The sequence below is a fragment of the Homo sapiens genome, chromosome 18 (assembly GCF_000001405.40).
Source record: "Homo sapiens chromosome 18, GRCh38.p14 Primary Assembly".
NCBI lineage: Eukaryota > Metazoa > Chordata > Mammalia > Primates > Hominidae > Homo > Homo sapiens.
In genome coordinates this window covers 8,360,122-8,384,396 of record NC_000018.10, presented here as the reverse complement: position 1 = coordinate 8,384,396, position 24,275 = coordinate 8,360,122, and the positions used below count along the sequence as shown (strand labels likewise).

At 43.5% G+C, this 24,275-nt stretch overlaps 1 protein-coding gene and 1 long non-coding RNA gene across 30 annotated transcripts in view, besides 1 other annotated feature; one reads left to right on the top strand and one right to left on the bottom strand.

The window, feature by feature from the left end:
- Window positions 1-24,275, bottom strand: part of PTPRM (protein tyrosine phosphatase receptor type M) — an 839,541-nt gene that overhangs the window by 22,460 nt on the left and 792,806 nt on the right. For 15 of the 29 annotated variants that reach the window (XM_047437715.1, NM_001105244.2, XM_047437717.1 and 12 more), the window contains 6 exons: window positions 13,391-13,507; window positions 8,197-8,351; window positions 7,800-7,935; window positions 5,983-6,132; window positions 5,057-5,230; window positions 3,970-4,101 (listed from right to left, as the gene is read on the bottom strand). In XM_047437715.1, the coding sequence (XP_047293671.1) occupies window positions 3,970-4,101; window positions 5,057-5,230; window positions 5,983-6,132; window positions 7,800-7,935; window positions 8,197-8,351; window positions 13,391-13,507 (864 nt within the window). Of the gene's footprint in view, window positions 1-3,969; window positions 4,102-5,056; window positions 5,231-5,982; window positions 6,133-7,799; window positions 7,936-8,196; window positions 8,352-12,586; window positions 12,638-13,390; window positions 13,508-24,275 lie in introns of all 29 variants that reach the window. The other 14 variants (XM_011525708.3, XM_011525712.3, XM_047437714.1 and 11 more) reach the window with 1 other exon arrangement.
- Window positions 16,550-17,050: an enhancer, noted in NCBI's record as "H3K4me1 hESC enhancer chr18:8367345-8367845 (GRCh37/hg19 assembly coordinates)". NCBI's record gives its function as "activates a minimal SCP1, AML or CMV promoter by ChIP-STARR-seq in naive H9 embryonic stem cells {active_cell/tissue: H9 hESC(naive)}" and the evidence as "EXISTENCE:reporter gene assay evidence [ECO:0000049][PMID:30033119]".
- On the top strand, window positions 17,363-23,577 carry LOC100192426 (uncharacterized). Its single transcript, NR_024419.1, has 4 exons — window positions 17,363-17,540; window positions 18,568-18,652; window positions 19,408-19,488; window positions 23,306-23,577. It is a non-coding gene; the product is annotated as an uncharacterized LOC100192426 (long non-coding RNA).

Here is a 24,275-nt window from a genome sequence, read left to right as displayed (position 1 = left end):
AGCCTTGAGCTCCTGGGCTCAAGCAACCCTTGCACCTAAACCTCTCAAGTAGCTGGGGCCACAGGTGTGTGCTACCATGCCTGGCTAATTTTTGTATTTTTGGAGACACAGGGATCTCGCTATGTTGCCCAGGCTGGTCTTGAAGCCCTCTTCTCCAGTGATCCTCCTGCCTCAGCCTCCCAAATTGCTGGGATTACGGATGTGGGATGCTGTGTTTGGAGACATCATTCAGGAATTCTGAAGATTTCACTGACTCCCTTTGTTTTCTTTTCTTTCTCTTTTCCTCCCAGCAATGTAGGCTTTTGGACTTCCTTGCTGGCTGATTCCTCAACTCCACCTGTCCTTTTCCTGGGACTTTTTCCTTCATTTTCTCAGAAAGCACCTTTTAAGCCATGAGTAATTCTGCTTTCCAACGAGGTCATGTGGATGGCAGTCGCCATGTCCCCTTTTGCATGGTGAAGGGAACTCTCATCAGGCCCCGGGGAGAGGCACTAGGTGCCACCCCAGGATGTAAGGTACTCAAGATGGCTATACAACTCTTAATGCCCAGATCTCCACGCTCTGCTGGCTGGGATTGCATGTGGATTTATAACCACTATTGGGAATAAGGCTATTTTGTGACAAGGTTTGGAACTGATAACATTGTTGGGTTGCATTTTTATGTTCCAGTCCAAACCCTTGCAGCTCAGATCTAGCAAATCTGCTGTAATAAGAATAAATGCTTTGCTGTTCTGCCTGGAAGTGGCCTAATTAAAAAAGCAATTTCCTACAGCCTCAAACTCTAGGTATTGTTGATACTGAGTAACTAAAACATTTGCATGAATGTAAATGCACAACTCAGGGCAGTAGGAGTGGTGCTGGGCATGGTGGCTTATGAAGGTGCTTATTAGCCAGCACCCCACAAAATTCCTACCCTTGGAAATAGTCAGGAAGGAAGAACTGCTAAGATTTTTTTCTTCAAAAACCCTTCTCAAAGCCCCGAAACCTTAACAGGCATTTAAAGTTTGAAATTACTCTTCCTTTGGGACTTCTTATTCCTATAACTTTTTTTTGAGTAGCATCTACCTTTTTTTTTTTTTTTTTTTTTTTTTTTTTTTTTTGAGGCAGAAGCTCGTTCTGTCGCCAGGTTGGAGTGCAGTGGTGTGATCTCGGCTCACCACAAACTCCGCCCCCCGGGTTCAAGCGATTCTTTTGCCTTGGCCTCCTGAGTAGTAGGGACTACAGGCATGCGCCACCACGCCCGGCTAATTTTTGTATTTTTAGTGGAGAGGGGGTTTCACCATGTTGGCCAGGATGGTCTCGATCTCTTGACCTCATGATCCACCCGCCTCGGCCTCCCAAAGTGCTGGGATTACTGGTGTGAGCCACTGCGCCTGGCCGCATCTAACTTTTATCTTTCTGATTTAGCTGAGGGACAGGTGGCCTATGGAAAGGCAAGGGGAGAACTACTTTATTATACAACCTGTTTCTATCCTGGGCCAAGAGCAGAGGAAGACAATCACCTAATTTTATGCAGAATGATGTGTCAGGAAAGGAGGATCCACTGGCTGAATTTCTAGATGACTTCTGTTTTCCAAAGGATCTAAAATCTCATTGTCAAAGGTTGCTAAGGTTGATTTATACCCAAGATTGCAGGATAGTTTTCAGTTAGCAGTGGGCCAATCAAAACAGCAGTATCTCTCTCTCCATCACAGAACAGTTAAGGTTGGGATTTTATAAGTAAGAATGAAAGTAGGGTAACCAAGGGTGCCTTTTATGTTAGCTATGCTGACAGTATTTTAAAAATTACATTTATTTATTTTTAAATAATGCTTCCGTGAAATATTTCCTTCCTCACCAGCACTTCCTGGTGACAAGTTATAAAACTGCCTTGTCAAATAATAGCATGTGATGTTTATGTTCTTTTTGATGCCCAAAGTGTACCCACTGTTGAAATTAATAGGCATTATGATGGGAAGCCGAGATGTTAATAAAAGCTGTAACATGTACATCTGAACCGTTCTGCCCATTTTTCTACTGCCTGAGCTTACTCTGCTTTCTGCTTGCTTTCTCAGTTCAAGCTCCTGACCAAAAGCTTGCCACTTACACCAAAGAAATATGAGTGACGTGGGTTGCACTTGCCTCTTGGCACATTGCATTCTATGCTCTGCCCAAGTAAACCATGTAGAAAATGGCTTAAATGGTGCATAACACGTCCGTGAACCGGACCTATAAATACTTAAAATAGTTGAGTGCTATTCTTGTAGAATTGCAAAGCCTTTACATTCAAATGCTCAGTTTAGTGTTCGCTAAAAGACTGAATCCCAGGAGCCTCTTTTCTCTCACTCTGAAAATCAGCTCTGTCTGCTGAATAGAACTGGAGTCTTTTTGTCTCTCCTACCCATGAGCCAGCCAAGGCTTGGTTTGAGTCCAGATAGTTCGGGTTTAGAATGCGGCTTTAGAATTCCAATGCAGTTTTTCAAAAAGAATGCACTAGAATCACTGATGTCTTGTTCACTAATATGAACAAAAATATCTCCACATTTCAGGATTCACATTAAGAAAAAAACCATCATGATTCTAAATAAGGAAGAAGTCCCTTATTCTATAAGTGTCTGCAACTTAAGACTCTAGAATTAGTGAAATTTCGGCCGTGCCACTGTAAGTGAGAAAATCAGGACCCTTGGTTCTATTTTGAGTTGGGTCTTTGAAGCTTCACAAGCCGTGGTGTCTGCTTGTCTTTATAAATGACTGTAAGCTAACCTTCTCAGAGCATCAGTGGGGAAGAGTTTTAAAATATTTAAGCTTCTTAAGCCAAAAGGACTGGATAAGAACAAAGATTATCATTACTATTTCATTAACCAGCTTTCAGGCAAGAGCTTTGACAATATAATGCAGTGCCTCAGACATAATTAAAAACCTTATAGAACTGAATTGAATGTCCATGCCATTTATGGCTGGATGATGGCAAGAAAACAGATTGTAGGAAGGAAAAATCTTGCCATCATGTCCAGTTGGGATGCCGAAATGCTTCAGACTTTTTTTTTTTTTTTTTTTAAGAAAAAGAATTTGTGTCTACTGGACAGGAAATTAATTCATTTCCAGAACAAGTTTTTTCTTAAAACACGCTAAGGTCAAACTTCCCATAATGCCTACTGTCATGGTGGTTGTCTATGATTGGTATAGGCACATCCCAAAGCAATAAATTCATCTCCTAAAGGACCACTGTGCTAATGCTTGCCTGACAACCTGCTTCAAGAAAATGTGTCTAACTCCATTACTAACATTGAGTCATCACTGTCCAATTCTTTCTCTTTAATGTTTAAGAGTAACTATGCAAAAGCCCCATTTATCATTCCAAACTTCTCTTATCTCCAAGTCCCAGTATTATTTCTTTTTAATATCTTTACTAAAGCATTGAGAAAACTAATTGCTGTGCCTTAAAATTGCTTGCCTGTCTCTGCTGTCACCCCGACACTGTCACCCTGCATGACAATCTCTACCTGCCCTGCATGACGATCTCTACCTGTAGGCTCCCGGTGAGCTGTGCCAGGAAGCACACAGTCACTCCAGGAATGGGATCTGGGCTGGGTCAAACGCTATCTTCCCTTCTCCACTGTCCTCTGGTTTGCTCATTCTGCTTTGGCTCTGCGATGTTCAGGTTCCTGCTGAGCTCCAACTCGGTCTGCGACCTTGTCAACCTCCAGTGAGTATTTCCATCTTTTAGGAACAGCTCAACTTCTGGCCGTGTCTTGCCCTGTCACCTCAACCATCTATGATTTCAGCCTGTATTTCTGGTTTCAACTGACTTTCTAACCCCTAATTCCGCCTGATTTTTAACCGTTGTGTTCAGCATCCCCAGTTCTCAACTTCAACTGGCACTTGAGATCTGGCACTAGGGCCTGCACTTCTCGGGTGCAAACAAACTCAGTGTAAAAACAAACTTGACCCCCTGGCACTAGTTCTGACTGTAAGAAGTCCGGGTCTCACCTGGGCAGGATCCACATCATTTAGCATAACTACGGATGTGCAGTGATAATCCAGGACCAGTCTCCAAAAGTCTTTCACTGTGTTTGGCAAAGGATGCTGGGTGACTATAAAAGCTGAAGGCTGTTTATAGCTCTGCAAACACAAACAAGAATGCTCCAAATATACTCAGGAAAATGGGAAGAGAAGAAGCTAGGTTATTTCATGCAGAAGGAAGCTTGTGGCACAAAACACTGAACATGTTTAACAGCTGTTGAATTCTGTCACCATTGTCAGCACCAACATAGACTAAATATAAACTTCTCTGCAGAATAATAGTGATAAAAGTCTTACTTTGATACCAAGAAAACTTAATTAGTATCTCTTATCAATTTTTAAAATATTTCTGGTAGAGAGGCAATATCGAATCTATACATAATTATCTTGATGGAGAAAATTTAACTTTACTTTTAAAATTACACATAATTAAAAGTTCTGCTTTTTCTAAAACTTGTTTGCTAGCAATTTGTATGTGTGACAGTGTTCTTATTTCTGCCGTAAAGAATACATGTACTTTTTTTTTACAGCTCTGAAGAGCTTCAAAAAAGTTCAGGTACCTTTTATGATATGACACCAACAGAATTAAAATTTCCGTGTTAGCACAGAACATACCCATTCACTCTTTGCATCAACGGAATAGCAATAAGAAAACAGACTGGCAGGAAGTAATGAGTTGAACTTTCCCCTATGTTAACTGCAGGCTAAATTACAGGAAAATGAACTAAAATAATGCTGCAAATCTATTAACCCATTTTCCTGCCATGGTGTCCCCTGTTCCCCAGCCAGCAGGTTAAAAGTCTCAGCTCTCAGAGGGCAACTGTGCCATGCTGCATTTACGGATACTCCTGGCCTGGTGGTCTTTGAGAAACGAAGGATATCAGCCCCGACACAAAAACATACGTGGAATCTGAAATCTATTTTTTGTTGGAAAAAAAAGTTTGTGTCTTAAAAAACAAAAGGGCTGGTGAGCAGAATGGGGAAGACCCAAGCCTGTTCTGCAGTCTCCCCAAACACCCCAGCCTCGGACCCGTGCGGGAAGCGGGGCACTCACGTCCATGAGGGCAGCATTGATGTAGTTGCTGCTCTCCCCATCGATGGTGATGAGGAAGGGCAGGCAGCGGTCTGGGGGCAGGATGTCCATGCACCGGTTTTTCTCATGGTTCCGGGGCAACAGTGCGATGCTGCAGTCCTCTACTCGCAGCGTTGGTGTCACCATGTTTAGCGTCTGCGTGAGAAAAGAAAGGAACATGAGGACAAGAAGCCTTGGCAGCGGACTCCTCTCACGTGCAGTTTTCGAAAGATGCAAACTTCCTGTGGCTGACTGCAAGACGGTCCCTTCCCCCTCCCTCCCCAACCCACCATAGTTCGAGTTTTCTTTCTTTTGCTCCTTGGATTTCGTCCACTGACAGTGCCCATCAGACACAGGGGCCAGAGGCAGAGGCGTAAGGGCCACTGTGGGTCCCTAGAATTAAGAGCCCTCAAGTCCCAGTGGAGTGAGGCACCTGGGGATTTGGGAGGTCAGAGGTGGGGGAAGAGTCTGGCCTTGACTCGGGTACATCTGGACAAAATGCATATGTGAGGAATACAATGGAGAGCTCTTGGTTGGAAAGTCTGAACACACACTTCCATGGTGTAACTGTGCCATGGTTATGCTGTGGACAAGGAGCCATGGTGTTGGGGACTAGTCCATGTCTGCCTTCAGAGGGAAGGAGTGGAAATGGTTGTTAGACCAGTGGTTCTCAACCAGGTATTTCTGTCCCCCAGGGGGACACCTGGCAATGTCTACACACATTTTTGTGTGGTGGTGATACCATAGACGTCTCCTGGGTAGAGCTCTGGGTTACCCAGCCCTGAATACGAACAGTGCTATGGAGGCCAAGGAACCTTGTGATTCAAGGGCTCACTCAGGTGCTGACCTTGAAATCCTTCTTGAGGAGCAAGTCACCGTGCAGTGCCCCTCCCTTAGGCATCACTTACCCGGAATTCCTCTTTAATCTGGCTTGAGTTTGTCTGTGGATCCAGTTTGTTCATGTCATAATACAGAGACCTAACTTGGGAAGCAGGCACAGAGGTGTCCCCACAAAGACAGGCTTCCAGGATCGCATCGTGGATAAACACATACTGCTCCTGGAGAAGGAGATGGAACGAGTTACTAACTTTAGAGAACCAGAGAAGGAGGAAAGACGGTATCAATTTTAGCCCCACATCATCAAGAGAGTGGAGACAGTTCCTCCAGAGAGAAACACGGTCCAAGGGCTCAAGTGCTAGGAGACTGGGGTGCAATGCCAAATATTACACAGATTGATTAAAACCAATCGGACCCAATACAAACCACCACACGCACTGCAGCACCATGAAAACTGTGGCTGAAGACCTCTGTCATTCTGATCCTACTCACTTGGAACTCAGTATTTCACATGAGGAATGAGCAGAATTTTGTCTATGGTAGGATTTGCTGGTCAAAATAATAGTGCAAAGAAGGTCCAGAAAAACTTGGCATTACTGTGAAGACAAGAAGTCTGGAAGTTCTTAATTCAAAACATAAAAGTACTTAGAAGTTCTTATTTCAGAACATAAAAGTTAATATGATTATGAAACCTCTTAGAAGTACAGAGAGCTGTTCTCATATATATCTTCAATGAGTTCACAGTGTAAATATGGGGCCTCTAATTCTGATTTGGCACTGACTTTTCTTAAAATTCATTGGTAGAGTCTTATCATATTTATTATTAATCTTTAGTTATATGGGAAGTTTAAAAAGCCTCTTATTACAGTTAATTCGGTTTTTTCTATACATAAATATGACCTTTAATTATTTTTTTTCAACAACCTCTTGTCCAACAGATTGATTCCCAAAAACAGCACACTACCAGTAAACAACACCTGAAAATGGAAGATCCAAGTGAGAAATGCGAGTGGCAACATTTGATTGACTATAAAGTACATTAAAAGATAAATTATTACGATTATTATCTTTCAAACACAGTATCCCCTTTCTAAGGAAAAGAACCCATGAAAGCAGCATTTAAAGTTTCTGTTATTTTTATGTTAGCTAAAAAAATGGGATTAGGTTTCCCAGAGGCTTTCATAAACTTAAATGCACCATCTAAATGTAAGGGATTCTTACTTCTTCTTCACTTCACTTCATGAATCATTTTCCAGGTGGTCGGTGTGACGCCTACTTAAAACAATCAAATATGAGTAAAAATACGAATGTCCTAAGAGCAGGATGTAACATTGCTTCTGAAAAAATGGAAATTCCCGATATACCTTGAATTTCCACTTACAGAGTTACTAGTTAGTATACAGTACTTCACAAAATGGGCAAATCCCCAGGACGCCAGACACTGGGCAGAATTTTTAGGGTCAGGAGGCTTCTGTTCTTCCCAGGACCCTGGGAGAAGAACAAAGTGCACAGAGATAACCCTTCAGCCACTATTCTCAGGAGCGGTCTTGCTCTGGTTACCAGCTAGTTTAAAAGAGATAATAAAAGGAAATGGTATTGAAAGTCTGAGCACTTAACAGAGACTTTTTTGGGTCCCTTAATACAGAAAAGTGTGCAAATTTGGGCTCTTGATTCTGTTACCTGGAAAACTCCTGGGTTTGTTTGGTTTGTTTATGAGAGGAAAAACAAAAAGGGGGAAGGGAGGGAGGGAGGGAAGGAACAGGGAATGCCAGGTAGATCACTTGAACAGATAATTGCCTGGATTCCTTGTGCCCTTGGCCCTGAAATGGGGAGATGCAGGAGGGAGCCCAGGGACCAAGGCCCCAGGCTAGGTGATGAGCGGGAGTACCTCTGTTTGCACCATGTTCACCCTCCGTGACCGCAGCTCCCTGACGCAGTTGTAGATGTCTACGACCCCTTCCCTTTCGGCCATGTCCAACATGATATCAATGACGATGAAACAGCCAGTCCTCCCTGCACCAGCACTGAATGAAAAGGGGGGTCTGTCAGTGGAGGAAGAAGGACCACACTGCTGCTGCTGCTTTTTAAATTTTTTATCGAGGTGAAATTTACATAATATAAAATTAAACCTCTTAAAAGGTACACTCCAGTGGCATTTAGTGCTCCCAAAATGTTGTGCAATCATCACCCCTCTGAAGTTCTAAAACATACTCATCATCCCCAAAGGTGGCCCTGCACCCATCACCCACTGCGTTTCCTTCAAGAGGCTCTGGAGCTCTGCTTACCTGCAGTGCACCACCAGTGGGCCTGCACTGGGCGGGCTCTTGGACTTGACTTGCCGCACGAATCCCAGCAGGCCGGTGGCATGGTAGGGGACCCCATGATCCGGCCAGCCAGTGAAGTGAAACTGTCTGATCTCTCGGATTTCATGCACACCTCTCTGCAGTAGTTGGTTAGCCAGAACAAGGAAGAGAACAAGGGAAAACAAACCACAAATAAGCAGGGATAGCTGGGGGAGTGGAAACAGTCCCCAGGTAGCAAGTCTAGGGCCAGGAAACAGTGGACTGCTGGGGAAAGAGGCCATCCTTAGATCTCACACACAATGTGGAAGGCATTGTACCCTTAGGAAGATGTCTGGGTATGAAAGGGGGATGATGTTTGGGGAAAATGCTAATTTTTAGGTGTAATTCCAGCAAATGGATGAATTGGTTGGGTTGTTTGAAATTCCTTTCTAAAAAGTAGACTATGTTAAAGGTTTGTCTCACTTAGATCACAAGGTGGCTGGTGAGGTGAGAGTCTGTAGAGAAAGAGGCACAGAAGAGGGGCCTGAAGAAATTAAAGGATGTCTGTGTGCTCAATACCAACTCCGTGTTGGGGCTTTCCGGCATCCTGGTACCTCTCACAGCAGGGACTGGAGTGGTGCACACTCACTGAGCATGCTCAGATGATGCTTGCAGTAGGAATGAATGAGGACACCTTTCCAACTAGACAGGTCAGAGAGCTCATTTGCATTTACAGCTCTGTTTGTTAGGTTTCTCTTTTTAATGTGGGTAAATATTTTACCCATTCATCCAATTGCTAGCAATCTGAGTGACTACACTGCCCCAGGCATTATGGGAGGTGCTAGGGCTACAGAAATATGTTTTTGAGTGGCTGTCACAGTCTGCTTGTGGCAAACAGGCATGTAAGCCAATACATACTATGGGAATCGAAAGATATTTTTGCTGGAATTCTAGGCTAGGTCAGTAAATCGAAGGGGAGCTGCCTGCCACTCAACTGTAGTGAAGGCAGAAAGAAAGAGACTTTACGGTTTGCTCTTGGTTTTAATTTACTTTTGTTTTGAGAATAATTAAGGTAATTTATACCTGTCAATTTTGTTTTCTAAGTATAAGCCTATATATTAAGACTGTGTTTTAAAGCAAAAGACTGTTTTGAAAACAAAACCGGAATCAACGCTGGATGTACATCTAGGATCAAATTAGACTTTCTTCCTTCTCTCATTCCATGATCATTTTCTGAACCATTTCTGCATTTGGTTTTATTGTATCTTAAAAGTAAACACTCATTAACCTCATCACTTTCACCATCAATCATTGTTCACACATACTTAGTGAGCAAAGAAGAAATTCAGAATTTTTATGTGCTTTGAAAGACCAGAAAAGCAAACAACTGCAGATTTCGAGATAAGACTTCCTTGGCACCCATGTGTTAACATGTCTTCATTTAATAACCCACAAATGCTGAAGCTTTACTTCTCTGTGAAAATGCCATTCTTTACTAGAGTTTAAGCTATAAGGAATTAAGCAGTCGGGGATTCACAAATGCAAATCAATATTGTTGTCTGCTAAATAGGCTCTGTGATCCCAGAGTAGTATGATTAGGTGGTTAGGAGCCCAAATTCCTTATCCCTAAAACCAAGGGAATGTTTGCCAGTGCCATGGTCTCCCTTAGAAAACATACAGCTGAGGCTGTGTCACCCTCAAAACCCCTAGAAAGCTCCCCCAGCTTTCTGCATGATGACCCACATAGGAGTGATCCCATTTTGGTGGTATGCATTCCCATATATGAACTGGGAAAGCTTATTGACGGTAAATACTTTATTCCAAAGGGGAAAAAAGGGGCATATCTTTCTCCATGTCCTGGTGGGTTTTTGGGGTGTGGGGTTTTTGGGGAGTGGGAGCATGGGGTGTGCTTCTCTCTCTAGCTTTGTTAGATTTCAGTTCCAGCAACCTCAAGTGCTGAACTACAGCTCTTAACTGATCTAAGACTCTTTTTCTGAGCAAGGTAAATATCAGTTTCTGGAAAGTAGAAAACATTTCTCAAAATTAAACCTCCACCCTTGAATATGTTTGCTATTGACAAGAGTGGCAAAGGAAACGGCTTCTGATCCAGTTTTCATTCTTGTTCATTGACATAGCAGTGTCTCCTTTTTTCTGTTTTGGAATGTAATACATTTGGGGAAGAACATCATAGATGTCATCAGTTATCACAGCCCAAATACCTCCCAATTTGATACTATTACTTCCTGGTTTTTCATCATAACAAGCATTAATGTTATATACAAAAATGTGAGAGTCACTTAATTTTTTTTTTTTTTTTCCGAGACAGGGTCTCATTCTGTTGCCCAGGCTGCAGTGCAATGGCGCAATCATGGGTCACTGCAGTCTTGAACTCTCGGGCTCAGGCGATCCTTTAGCCTCAGTCTCCCAAAGTGCTGAGATTAACAGGCATGAGCCACCACACCCAGTTAGTCACTTAATTTTGATCCAAGTCATACAATAGTCCCTGGCCTGAAGTGGGTGCTTAAGAAATACTTGTGAAATGAATAGTCATGTTCTGTCTTGTATAATACATGTTCTGTCTTGGAGACAGGAGGATCATCTTCTCATGCCCTTTCTGAATCCTAGGCAGCTCCTGGGTAGCGAGAATTCAGTGACCATTGTCAACTTTGTTTCTCCCAGAATAGTCAGGGATAGATTCACCAGACAGCCTAAATGCATGGAGACTTCAGGGGTGTCTTCCTTCTGACACTCTGGGTACTGTGTATTATTTAAAATCTGTTTAGCTTGGAATCATCAGCTATGTGGGAAATAAAAGACAACAATCAGATGCAAAGCAGGAATTCATGAGTTCCAAAGTGCATTGCATCTGCTTGTTTTGCAGAGCAGAGCCCTAATCCACTTTCACCTTTAGGTCCCTCGATGCAACATGCTCTCAAAATAGAATCAGAATTGCAGGCATCTCAAAGTACATGCTTACCTGTTCTCTTCTTTCCTTTCTAATGAGAAAGTTTAAAACCTATAAGAAATGCTCTACAAAAGTACTAATGATTTGTTTTCCTTAAAGATTCCAATTGCCCGGTTAGAAAATCACTAATGTGTCATTTTGATTTCCCCAAATGCATTAACAAGCTCCTTATTCCTTCTCTTCCCTCCACCACCTCTTCACTGGTTGTCTAGTGACTAAAATGACTGGATATTTCAGACACATTTCTGTGCAGCTGGGAATTCAGGGGAGTACAATAAGAGGTTAAAAAAAAAGAGGAAAGAAACAAACAAACCCTTCCTTTAGCTACAGAGGTGCATTTTCAGCTTATTAGAGAGCTGACTATTGTTCAAAAAAACTCCATGTTTAAATGATGGCTTTTGGATTTTTTTTTAAAGAAAAAAATATTGAGGGTCTTTTATCGCTGTTTTAATGCGGTTATTCATGAGTGCTCTTGCCAACAGCCATACAAAAATCCTCCATGTGTTTTTTTTTTTTTCCAATTCTGCCTAAGAAGGAAAAAATTGACATCAAAGTGTGAGGTTCAGAACTTGAAGAACTGAGTCAACCAGAACTCCTCATTCTTTGAAGTCTCCAAGCTTTCTGCCTGCTTATTAAAAAAGACAGGCTAAGAAAAAAAATGCTAAATAGTATGAGAAACAGATTAAAATAAAGTCTTTCCAGCTTTGTGATTCTATGACAAATTTGGATCTGCAAACCAGGAAAGGTAGTTCAAAACATCAGACTAAATTAGCCAATAAGCAGATGTTGCAATTTCCTTGATTTCCTAAAACTGGTCTTGTTCATCTAAAAAGCGCATTTAGATGCAGTGAGAATATAGAGTGGAGGCCGGGCGCGGTGGCTCACGCCTGTAATCCCAGCACTTTGGGAGGCCGAGGCGGGTGGATCATGAGGTCAGGAGATCGAGACCATCCTGGCTAACAAGGTGAAACCCCGTCTCTACTAAAAAAAATACAAAAAATTAGCCGGGCGCGGTGGCGGGCGCCTGTAGTCCCAGCTACTCGGGAGGCTGAGGCAGGAGAATGGCGTGAACCCGGGAAGCGGAGCTTGCAGTGAGCCGAGATTGCGCCACTGCAGTCCGCAGTCCGGCCTGGGCGACAGAGCGAGACTCCGTCTTAAAAAAAAAAAAAAAAAAAAAAAAAAGAATATAGAGTGGAGAGGAAGGCCAAAATCCAATTCCCTAGCAATCTGCCTATAACCCAGGTCTTCCAAGAAGACCTGCTACTATTACATGAGTAGAAGCTAACAAATTCACACCAAGATCCCTAAGTCCAGGGCAGCTGTGCAGGGCTCGGTTATGGAGAATCAACTCTGGATAGAAAAGTCTGTGGATCTTTGGAAGGCAGAGTGTTCCTCAGCCACATCACCTCCACTTTCCCCAGAGCCTACCTGTGACACTTCTCTGGATGGACTGCAGTTTGCTTCACCTCCGGCCCCTCCCTATGTCAGCAGAAAGAGGGGGAATAAGGAAATTCCCTGTTATGCCCTACAGTGCATCCCAGAGAAGAAGCCCCATCCATGCACATGGGATGAGGCAGGGCAGAACCAAAGCAGAACATTCACCGACCCAACACCAGCAACTACAAAAGGGGAAAACCAGTATGGGAGTGAGCATGAATGAATGCGCTGGTTCATGCAAGAGTGTCCCATGTCTGATGGAGATCAGTCACTTAGGTTTCCAGGTAGGTCACTTCCACCTGGAAAATCCATCAGTCCACATTAAACCAGAGGTTTCGAAAGCCACAAGGAAGTGAGAGATTCCAGGAGGAGTTAGGACCTGTGTCTCAACACTGATACTAACTCCCTACTGGAAAATGCATATCGACATACACCATGAAGGAAATTTACCAAACTGGAAGGACATTTATCAAAATTTAGCAAACTTTGTTCTGTGAACAAAGAAAGAGAGACGGGCAGAACAATATCAACCAGGGAAAGAAAATAAACAAATAGACATTAACTTTTGGTTTACTTGCAAAATATAGATTCTTATGAAATGAGAATGATTTGTTTTAAAGATGGAACTGAGCTGTTATAGAATCAGAGAGCAAGATGCAATCTTGAGAAACCATCAGATAGAGCCTACCTGCATTGAGATATGAGCATGTGTAAAGTATCCTAGGTAAGTTAATGAGGCTAGTATGGTACCACTAGTGTCTGACCATAGCTTTTAAAAGCAGTATGAAAACTTACCTTTTCAACAGCAAATGTTCTTATCACATATTCTGCCAGTAGTTCTGTTTCTATTAGGGTAACTTTAATGTCTTTATATATCTCTGTGTCATCTGGCCAGTATTTGCAGCATTTGACCTTTAGAAAACATAAAAGAAATTATGGGTTTACAGTTTGGTTTTTTTGGAGTTCCTCCCATGATGGGTCACACTATGATTTATAGGACAAAATTTGCACACAAAAGTTAATTGTATACTCAAGAGGAAGGTCTATTTTTTGTAGATCACCTGTGTTTTTATTCTTCTCAGAAGAAAACAATATTTGAGTTATGGGAGACGTAAAACCTGGAAAAATGGTCTAAGTTTAAAAAATTGTATTTTTACCACAAACATCCCAGTTACTGTAACCATTCATTTCCTGTGCATCTCTACTCAGAGAACGGCCTGCAAAAATAAACTGTGAAGGAAGTTTGCAATATTTTAGCTCTTCTTTTGAATTATTTCTAGTTTCAGAAAGTGATTGAAAACTTTTTAGGAGGAGTGGGCAGAAAATCAGATTGAACACTAAAGATTAGAATTATATTTTTTCTGAAGGAAGTAGCTAAGTCATTTTCCCAAATTAGAACTACAGATTCATTTTAGTATAAATAAATTCAATAAACAAAACTTCCTAAAATCTGAAATTGTCTTTCCATATTGTCTGAAGCCTCTAACTAATCTCAGGTGGAAGAATTTTGCATGCAAGGGGCATTTGATTTCCCTCATTTCTGAGCACTGAAGCACTCCACTGTCATATTTTTGAAATTCTCCTAGCAAATTGTATTTTTTTTTTTTTTTTTGGTAAGAATGTTTTTCTAGACATCAACGAGAGGAGAGCAGGACCAGAGGCTGGGCAGGAACACGTGACCACCTCAAAGCTCTGTCCTTGGCCTCTTCTGCCTCCCCAGGATTCCTGGCATTTTCATCTATTCCTGTCCCTGCCCCTCCATGGATGAATTTCTATTCTGTAACTCTAGCCCTGTTTCTCCATGTGCTGAATTTAATGTTTTTTATTTGTTTTTGTTTTGTTTTCTTTTTTAGAGACAGGGTCTTGCTCTGCCATCTAGGCTGGAGTGCAGTGGCGTGATCGCAGCCCACTATAATCTTGAATCCTTGGGCTCAAGCGATCTTCCCTCCTCAGCCTCCCAAGTAACTAGGACTACAAGCACATGTCACCATGCCCAGCTAATCTTTTATTTTTTATAGCAATGGGGTCTTGCTATGCTGCCAGGTCTTGAACTCCTGGCCTCAAGCGATCCTCCTGCCTTGGCCTCGAAAAGTGTTGAGGTTACAGGCATGGGCCGCTGTGCCCAACCTTCTGAATTTGATTTCTAACTTCTTCTGTGAGCATCTTCCCTTGGAGGTCCTGCCAGCACCTCAAAGACCATAAGTCTAAAAGAGAATTCTTTGCCCCACAGTCACTGCGCTCTTCCTGACTTCCTATGTGACTGCTATGATTCCCTTAACCAACCCATTCCTTCTCGCAAACCCAACCATTTGCCAAGGCTAGGAGTGTCTTTGAAGCAGCTCTCAAAGTGTATTTTCCAACTTCTTAATCCCTCTGCCACAATCCTAAATTCAGGCTCTACTGTCTTCCTGCATGGGCATTCTATGTGTCCCAATACCACAAAAACTCTCTCAATGTGTAATCCCAGTGCTATTTACTTGTTCTGCTCAAGAATCTCCTATTTCTAACTACTTTCTGAAACTAAATACAAATTATTTGGCCAGGCAGGTAAGAACGAGTTTTTAAATATGGCCCCAACCAGCATTTCCAGCCTTATCTTTTATAGCTCTCTTTTCTATGCACATATATTTTATGTTCAAGGACAAGTGTTTGCCCTGTTCCCCAAACATACCCCATGATCCAAACTCCTACTCGCACCATTCCTTCTGTTCAGAATATTCTCCTCCCATCCATTTCTTCCCAGTTGAAGATTTTTTGCATTCTTTAAAGTACATCTCACACGCTGCACTCCTTCAAAGACTCCTCCATAGATGTGAGCTCTTTTTGCTGCCCTGATGAAACATGCTTGTTCTGACCCTGGTATGATGCCCTTCTTGCACTGTTTGACTGTAAACTTATTCCTGGCCAGCACATAAAGGGTGTTGTTTTGCTTATTTCTGCAAACCCTGCAACACCTGATCGCTGTGTCCTGTGTGCACTAAATATGCAATGTATACATATAAAACTGAATTTTATGCAGAGTCATAGGATCAGTGTAGGAAGGAAAGTCCCAGACTGGGAAAGTTTACAAAAGAAATCTGAGCTGAGAGGACCTCTCCCAGAATGCCAACCCCCTGAGGTGCACTGATGTTCCCCCATGAGCTATGTGGCTGGTTATTTCAGCTGCCTCCTTGTGAAACTTTCTGGCCATGGATTCAGTGCCCTTCCAGGGAAGCCTCATTACCTTTAGTTGGCAAGACGTAAACCAGATATGCTAGGAGTTGCAGATACTGTAAAGCAGGAGACAATGATGGTCCCTGCCCTCAGTAAGTGCTCAGCCTTCTTTGGAATCTTTTCCCCCCTCATTATGGGAATATTATTTGTGACTTTATAAAGGGCTTATCTATAATATCTCAGAAATTTACATCATGGATACCTTTGCTCTATCAAAAATATCCCAGAGTAAGAGAGACCTACAATTTCTCCTTTCCCAGATGTAAAGTCAGTTTGAGCAGATCATGTATATTTGTGGAGATGTCTAATTTGACAGTAACAATGATTTCATTTCAAGAGTGTCCAGCACCATACTTTCACGATGCCAGTTAGCAAAGATGCTTTTATGGGACATACTAGATTCTTCTGTATATTGGGGGATTAGTTTTTACCTTTTTGTGACTTCAGTTATGCAAGCAGAAGGTAGTGGGATAGATATAAAACTACATATATGGTATACAGGCACACTTTAAAAATAATTATTGATGAATAAATATACACTTTAAAAATTCATTTATTTCTCTGAAAATGACAACTGAACAAAACACACACACCCGCAACGTATGTTATACCAGGTTTATCTTACCTAATAAAAACACCTTATCAAGATTTACCTTAAGTAATAAAAATGATTTTACTAATTACAAGATGCAATTGATGTATGATATTTTGGATGGTCACCTAGTCTTCCATTTAGACTCTTTAACCTCCTTGTTCTCGAATTTCAAAAATATGACAGTGGAGTGCTTCAGTGCTCAGAAATGAGGGAAATCAAATGCCCCTTGCATGCACTGAAAGCTCGGTTTCTTTGGGATTATTGGGAGATGCGCTCCCAACTCCTTCAACTCCCTGGAGCGAGCTCTGGTTCCATCCGAAATCCGACCCTGGGCCCTCTCGGGCTGGCTGTCCCCCCGCACCCAGTTCCAGGCTCTCAGGCTCCTGGTCCCCCGCGGCCGGATGAAGCCGGGCGCCCCCGCGCGTCGGCTGCAGGCAGCAGCCGCCAGGGCTTCCAACTTTGGCCGCGCTTCCGCGGAACAGGTGCCGCCGCTCTCCCAGCGAAGCGAGGGAACAATGAAAAGAAAACACCGTCTGCTCTCAACTGCTCGGCACGGTGCTGACTTCGCACCGCCCGGATGCCTCCGACCCGGCGGTAATTGCGAGGGAGGAGGCGCGGGGCCGCTTCCTTCTAGAATGCGTGCTGGGCAAGGCCCCTCCCGAGCACAGGCACCTGGCGGGGCGGGCCCAGAACAGGCGGCCCAGGCATTTCGAATCCGGTCCTCCCCATCTCATCTCCCAGAATATCCCGAAATGGTTTGCCACATCTGTTTTCAGCCTACTAAAAGCCCTTCTAAATTGGGTTTCTTTTAGTATCTTTTTAACTACTTGGACTTGTGTCAAGTTATTATTTTGCTTAAAAAAAAAAAGGAAAAGGAAGACAAAATATGCTTCGTTCTCTCTGCATTTAGAGTTTCCGTGTCTGGAGAGTGTGGGGCTCGCAGTCGCTTCCTGTCCTCTAAGGTCTGCATACAGAGATGCTGGAACTATTGGTTTGGAGGTGCCCGTTGGAGCCCAGGAACCAAGGAACGGGAGGCGTCCCTGCTCTGATCGTGCGCCTGGCTTGGCTGCCTCCTGCAGCCCAGCGCTACCTGCACAGCTTCTAGGAGAGGCGGCGCCTCCCACGCATCCTAATCACGTAAGGCGGCAGCCTCCAGCCCAGAAAGCAAGGTCCAGAAACAGATCGTCTAATTACCTTAGTGCCCTGGTGGTGGTTCCACCAGGCCATCAATCAGGCTAACAGTCCCGAGCCCTGCCACCTGCTCATTACTGCCAGAGGGCGGCAGGAATAGATGTGTGGTCCCTGCTCCAAAGGGGTGATCCTTATTGGCTTTAAAACTCACAAACACGAAACAGCACAGAAACGCTATAACTCCAGGATTTCTAACTTCCTGAAAAAAGATCTTTGAGGTGGGTCATTTTAAACCAGCAGCCCAGATAATACTCAGGTAAATTAAAGTCAGAGGATGGCTAGGGGCCAGAGCTGTGGCTCCCGAGGCTGCCAGCACATGACTGTAACCTTCAGGGCATTTGACATGACTACAGCAGCCGTTATCAAAGTGAAGCAGGCATGAGACTCCCTTGGAGGGATTCTGAATAAATTCGGTAGGTCTGACTTTGTGGGGCCTGAAAATGTGCGCTTTGAACAAGCTCCCAGGTGATGCTGTGGTCTCTGGACCACACTGTGGGTAGCAAGGATTGAGACAGCACAGCTGCAGTCTTGCCAGGCTGGAGTGCTGGCTCTCACGCAGTGTGGACGTGAGCTTGAGGGGCTCACTGGAGTTTGCTCAACTGCAGGAGCTTCATCTGTAAATAGGACATGATTATAAGTCCTATGGCAGAGAGTTCTAAGAAGTCAGCAGTTCCCAAATTTGCCTGCACATTAGAATCACTTAGCTGGGGGGAGGGAGGTCTTAACAAATTCTACAGCCCAGGCCATACTCTAATTAAATCATAATTTCTGGGGTGGGACAGAGGTATCAGTAGTTTATTGAAGCCCCCCTCTCCCCAGGCCATTCTGAAGTGTAGATACATTTGGGAACCACTGGATTAATTGATACAATGTGATGAAAACATTTAGCCATGTGCCCAGTTTATCCAAAAATGGAAATTGAACAAATGAAAATTCCGACTATTAAGTGATTGTTTTGTGATCTGGACTCTAGATGTCTACAGGAATTCAGAGGCCAAGGAGCCCATGGAGGCCTGGAGAGAGGAGGCAGGGTGTCCCGGAGAAGGAGGAGGGCAGAGGTGAGTACTGACAATTGTGCATGGCTTATGATGGTGGAGGGACAGCTAGGGGGAACCCCTGCTGATTCCTCTCTCCCTCAAACCTTATCTGACAAGAGGAGAGAGAGGGAGAGAGGGAGAGAGAGATTGGCATGTCCATTTGCCTATCAGTGTGGTTTGATTAACTCCCAACACAATAGGTGGTTTTGGGGAAGGGGATTCAAATCAAATATAGCTGCGAGGAATCTCAGAGACAGTCAATTTCCAAACACTCATTTTCAAGATCATTGCAACTCCCATCCACCGAGCAGTTTCTACTTTGAACTGGACACACTGGATGGCTGCATTCTGACATCTGTGGCCTCACTTAGTGGATGGAAGAGCATGTGATTTGCCCAGAAGAGACCTAGCAAGGGCCAGGCTGGTCTCGATCCTTTTCATTCCTTGTATTTCCTCGTGCTCTGGAAGGAAGAAGCAACAGGCAGGCCTAGGGAGTGCAAGTGGCTTGCTCAAGGCAATAAATTAGATGGTGGTGAAGGAGAGGCTGAAACGCAGGCTCTGACTCCAGCTACAGGGCCCTTTGGGAGGATGGAACTCAAGGTGCTTTACGCTTTCCTCAGTCTTACCAGGAGGCTTGGCCTCTGGAACAGAAACAAAGTAGGAAGCCTTGAAATGACTTCAGCTGCCTTTTTGGGGGCAGAACTGGAGACGGGTGGAGGGGTGGGCAGGAGAGCAGAATGCATGCTCTGAAACCATCATCCTCCTTTTTCCATTAGCACAAGCTGCTGCGTTTCTACTCTGCCTCCTGTGTCAGCAACTCTCCCCATCCACAGGAAGGAGTCTGGGCAGAACTGAAGGTGTGTTTATGTGCATGCGCATGAGTACTCATTTTGCTAAGAAACCCATGATGAAGAAGGACTAAGAAATGTACTTGTTAGCTCTTAAGTTGGGGGCACCATAATGTGATCCAATAAATACAACTTTAAAGGGGAAGAAGGGATGAAAAAGAATAAGGCAGTTACAAGTTTTGATTTCTCAAGAGTTTTTAAGAGACTCTTCTTTGTTTTGAAAGAGATATCCAAACCGAGTATCCATACTTCTATTAATAGTTGTGTTTGGGCCCGCTGAGAAGAGGGTGGATGGATATTGGATAGTGAGAGCAAAAACACTGCCATGAAGCACAGCTACCACATAGAGCCCAGCCAAGAGCAGCTGCCAGCTTTGTTTCCAAGATAACAGATTTATTGTATCCCCAAACCTTTTGGTTTAGAGGTCTCACAGGAATAAAATATTACTCATTTAAATATCCTGAGAACACAGATTGCTCTGGTCTCAGTGTGATGGAGTAAGATGCACATGGATTTTTTTTCCATCTACCTTGTGATGTTGCAGCAAGTGACTTACACCCCCTGAGCCTCAGTCTTCTCATGCGGCAGGTGACTTCCATGACTTCCACCCCGAGCCTGTTTTCTCATGCATAATATGAGATCCTATTATTAACTTCTTAGGGAGGGTGTGAAGATTAGATGAGATTTTTTAAAGTATATATAAAGTTGCTGATTAAGTACCTGGCTTATCATAGCTTTCCTAGATTCTTCCTTTCATACTGGCTTTATTTGGAAGGGGGACCTTCCTTGGGAAACATCCTTGAAGATTATTTCAAAACTGGCACTACATCAAGAGCTTCTGGAAGTCTGGATAGTTTCAGTTTGGGAAATAACTTCATATCATAAGTAAATCCCTCTTTCATGCCTTTACGGTCCTGCCTTAAAGTACCCTCACAAAGCGTCTGTTTTCCAATTGCATCTATTCGTTAATGTTGTTATTTAATGGGCATACAATACTTATAAGCACAAGGCCGCATCTGTACCCACAACGCTGGTTTTCATCAGCTGTAAAGAAACATGCAGCCTGGTCCCCTTGTGGAATTTTAAGTGTTATCCTACAAACCACACGAGAAATCTGTCTTGTTACTTTTCTCTCTTACCTCATCTTGATGAAAACTTAATCAGAAAGCAGCATCACTCAAACTACAACCAGACTTTCAGGAGACATGTTATTTCCACTGCTTGTTCCCCATCTTATTCAAGAGGTTCAGCTTGACTTTTAGCTATTCCCCAAATGTAAGTCCTCCTGCCAGGGGAGGGAGATTTGCCACCAGCAAGGGCAATAAACAGAGAGTGTCACATACTACTCTACAGATTACTCTGAAATAAGAACTTCAGAAATCTTTTGAGCAATGACATTATTAGAATACATATATATGCCGCCAGGTACATCAGAGAGGACATTTCTTAGAGTGGTACATGATATATCTGTTGAGAAAAGAAATCCGTATTTTCTGTCATTGTCAGTCTTCACATGTGTCAGGGTCACAGTATAGATCTACGACTTTGTGCCAGTCACAGAACCGTTCTGGCCCTCAGTTTCCTTATGTGCCAAAGACTAGATCACATGCTGGTGAAAACGATTCCAACTCCTAACGCTATCTGATTATACGCCCGCTCCCATTAACTTTGTGGGGTAAGTACTATTATCCTTATTTTACAAACACATAACGTAAAGCTGGGAGAGATTAAGAGATAGGAGACCTAAGGGACCAACACTGTGGCTGCAATGAGGGAAATCCTGTGCTTAGCTCCGGGCTGTGGTGTCCAGGCTGTCCTGCCAGTCATTCAGACAGCCCTGAAAGCGCATGACAAGCAGAGCCCGGACTGGGCATTGCTGGGGATGCAGAGAGCAAGGAGACATAGTTCTAATAGTCACTAAGAGACAGATGTGTAAACAACAAACTCAACTCAAGGCAGAATAAGGGGCAAGCTGACTGGTCAAGAGCACATTCCCTGGAGCCGCACTGTCTGGGTTCAAAGCCAGGTCCCATTTATTAGCTGTGTGACTTTGGCTCCATTTTCCCATCTGTAAAATGGGCTAAGAGAGTTGTTATGAATATTAACTCAATTCTTTTCCTTGTAAAGCACCTAGAACATGCTCAGCACAAGTAAATGTTCATTAAAATTTTAAAAATGAAAACTGCTGTTGGCAGTCAGAAGTATGCTAATTCCAAAGAAAGGTATGCAAAGCTTCATAAGGGAAACTACCTTACAAATGAGACAGAAATATGGAGTGCTGTTTCTATGGGTGGATATGGAAGAGAGGGATATTCTAGACTTGGGGAGTTGGCAGAGGGCAGCTGGAGTGGTCTTGAGGCTCTGGCAGGTGGGGGCTGGGAGGGCGCGATCCTCCGACAGCAGCAGGAAGCAGTCACTATTTTGTGACCGTCAGCTGCTTCTGAGGCCCTTCTTGCTGCACTTTGATGCTACACTTTGAAATAAAGGGAATTGTATTGGGAAGGAAAGTTTGTATTCAACAGGAGCAGGAAGACACAGGAATGGGTTTTCTGTAGGAGCAGTGTTTTTAAAGGGTACCTAGTTCCTTTGTGTAGGTGTATGTAATCACTGCCACCACCATGGGGCTCTCTGCAGCTGAGGCAGCTGCCCTGCTGGGATGGGCTGCTAAGTGCAAGGTGCGAACTAATTGCGACAAGGGATGTGTGAGTAGGTCGGATATGGCAGAGCTGGGAGCAGTTGGGGCCGGGGATCACCCAGGACTAGGTGTCTGGCAACCCCATCACCAGCGGCTTGCTTGGATCCTTCACACTGCTTGAGAAGAGGGCAGCAGCTTCAGGACTGGGGTGGCAGGATAACAGGCACATATCAGGGTTCCTAGAGCTGGTGAGCTCAGGCACTGGGTCTCCTGTGTCTCCCAAGTTGCCAAGATGTGACCTCTCTGACTTAGTCAAGACCTGGGAAAGTTCTTGAAACACACACACGATATTCTTTTCTTCTAGATAGAAGGATAACATTTTATTTTTAAGAACCTCGGATAAAGTTTTTGTAGCCTATCTTAAAAATGAACATTTAATGATGACACAGTGTGCTGTAACAGAAAGAAGCCTGGCAGGCAGGCAGGAGGGCTTGGGGCTAATCCTAGCTGTGTTCCAATCTAGCTCTGTGATCTTGTGCAAGTCACTGAACCATTCTAGTACTCAGTTTCCTTACTGGCAAAAGAGGATACAAGACCATATGATTGTTAAAGGTATTCTGAGTCCTACAGTTATCTGATTATGTGATTCTAGAATGTGGTTCTTTGGAAGCCTTAGGAGTCAGGAGCATGGGTTCCAGAGTTCAAATCCTGGGTCCCACATTAACTAGCTGTATGAAGTTGGACCAATTTATTAATGTCTTTTAAGTTTGTTTATTATCTGGAGAATAGAATAACAATCATGTCTATTTCTTAATCACTCTGATGAGCTAAAGACTCACCACATTGACTTACCCATAAGAAATGTCCAGTAACTGTTAGTGGTGGTCACCATCCCCCAGCACTTCTGCTATCGAGAAGGGAACAGCACTCAGTATAGAGCTCCGGGTGCTCCATTTATTGTAACACACAATGCTTTATGGTCTGTATCAGTATTAGGAAGATAACAAGCTTTAATTTCAGAGGCATTAATCAGGGCTAAATGCCTCTGAGACAGTCTGAAGTGCGTACCTGTCCCAGTTCATCTCTTTGAGGAAATAAAGGGCTCTAGGGGTGAAGGAAGGAAGAAAGGAAGAAGAATTTACAAAAGACACGGGTCAATCTGAGTCTCACCACCCTCACCCTCTTCCTTAGGTTGTCACAAGGAGCTGCTAAACAGATCAAAAGGCATTGAAGGATGGAGTGACATGATATATGACCTGCCCAATCCTTGACTGCACATCACATAAGCAGTCCTAAGGATGTGAAGTATATGATGCCACCAGTTGAATGGATTGAAGCTCCTACACGTACACTGTTGGTTTCAGATTCTCTACTCTACAACATCAGAAAAGAATCTATTTTTGGTGAGATAACAAATGTGCTATGTTACTCTAGAATAAAGACATCTGTTTACTTACAATTTTAAGTGATAAGAGTTCTGCTTCTATTTTACAGTAGACACTCTAAAGCTAAAAGATGTAAATCCAAACAGTGTCGGGTGTTGAAACATCTACTCCCAGCTTCTTTTCACATCCCCTTCTGCAGGCAGTGTTCCCCACTGTTCATCCCTGGTCTCCTGCAGTGCGTCTGTTTCAGACTGTGCTTCTTTATACAAAGTCCTAGCAAGTAATCCAGTGCAATACCAGGGGGCTAACTCACCTCTGCTTCCTCAGCTAGTATTGGCCAAGGTGACCAGTCCACTTTTGGAACTCAGCAGCACCCCCACAATTTTCAAATAATGTTACCCAAATGCACGTTCCTTGTCCTGAGCTCTACAAACCTGTAATTCAGGCATAGGGAAGCAACTGACACACTATCTTCTTGTCGGGTATGAAGGGTTTTTTTTGCATAGATTTCACGGCAGAGGTGTGTCCAGACCCGTTCCACCTTCTCACTGCTAGAAACCTGGTCCTACAGACAGGGAGTGGTAGCTTATGCATAAGTTGCTGTCTTTCTCTGGTCTTAGACATGTGGCAGGCACTTTCAGTGAAAAAATTCTGAGGCAGTGAATTCTGGTTGTCTGTAGCCTACTGAATTACATTTCTCCTTATTTATTTCCTTAGTTCATGAAACTAAAGTAGAGATACTGATGTCTTTGCCACTTTGTTAGTCTGAACGCAGT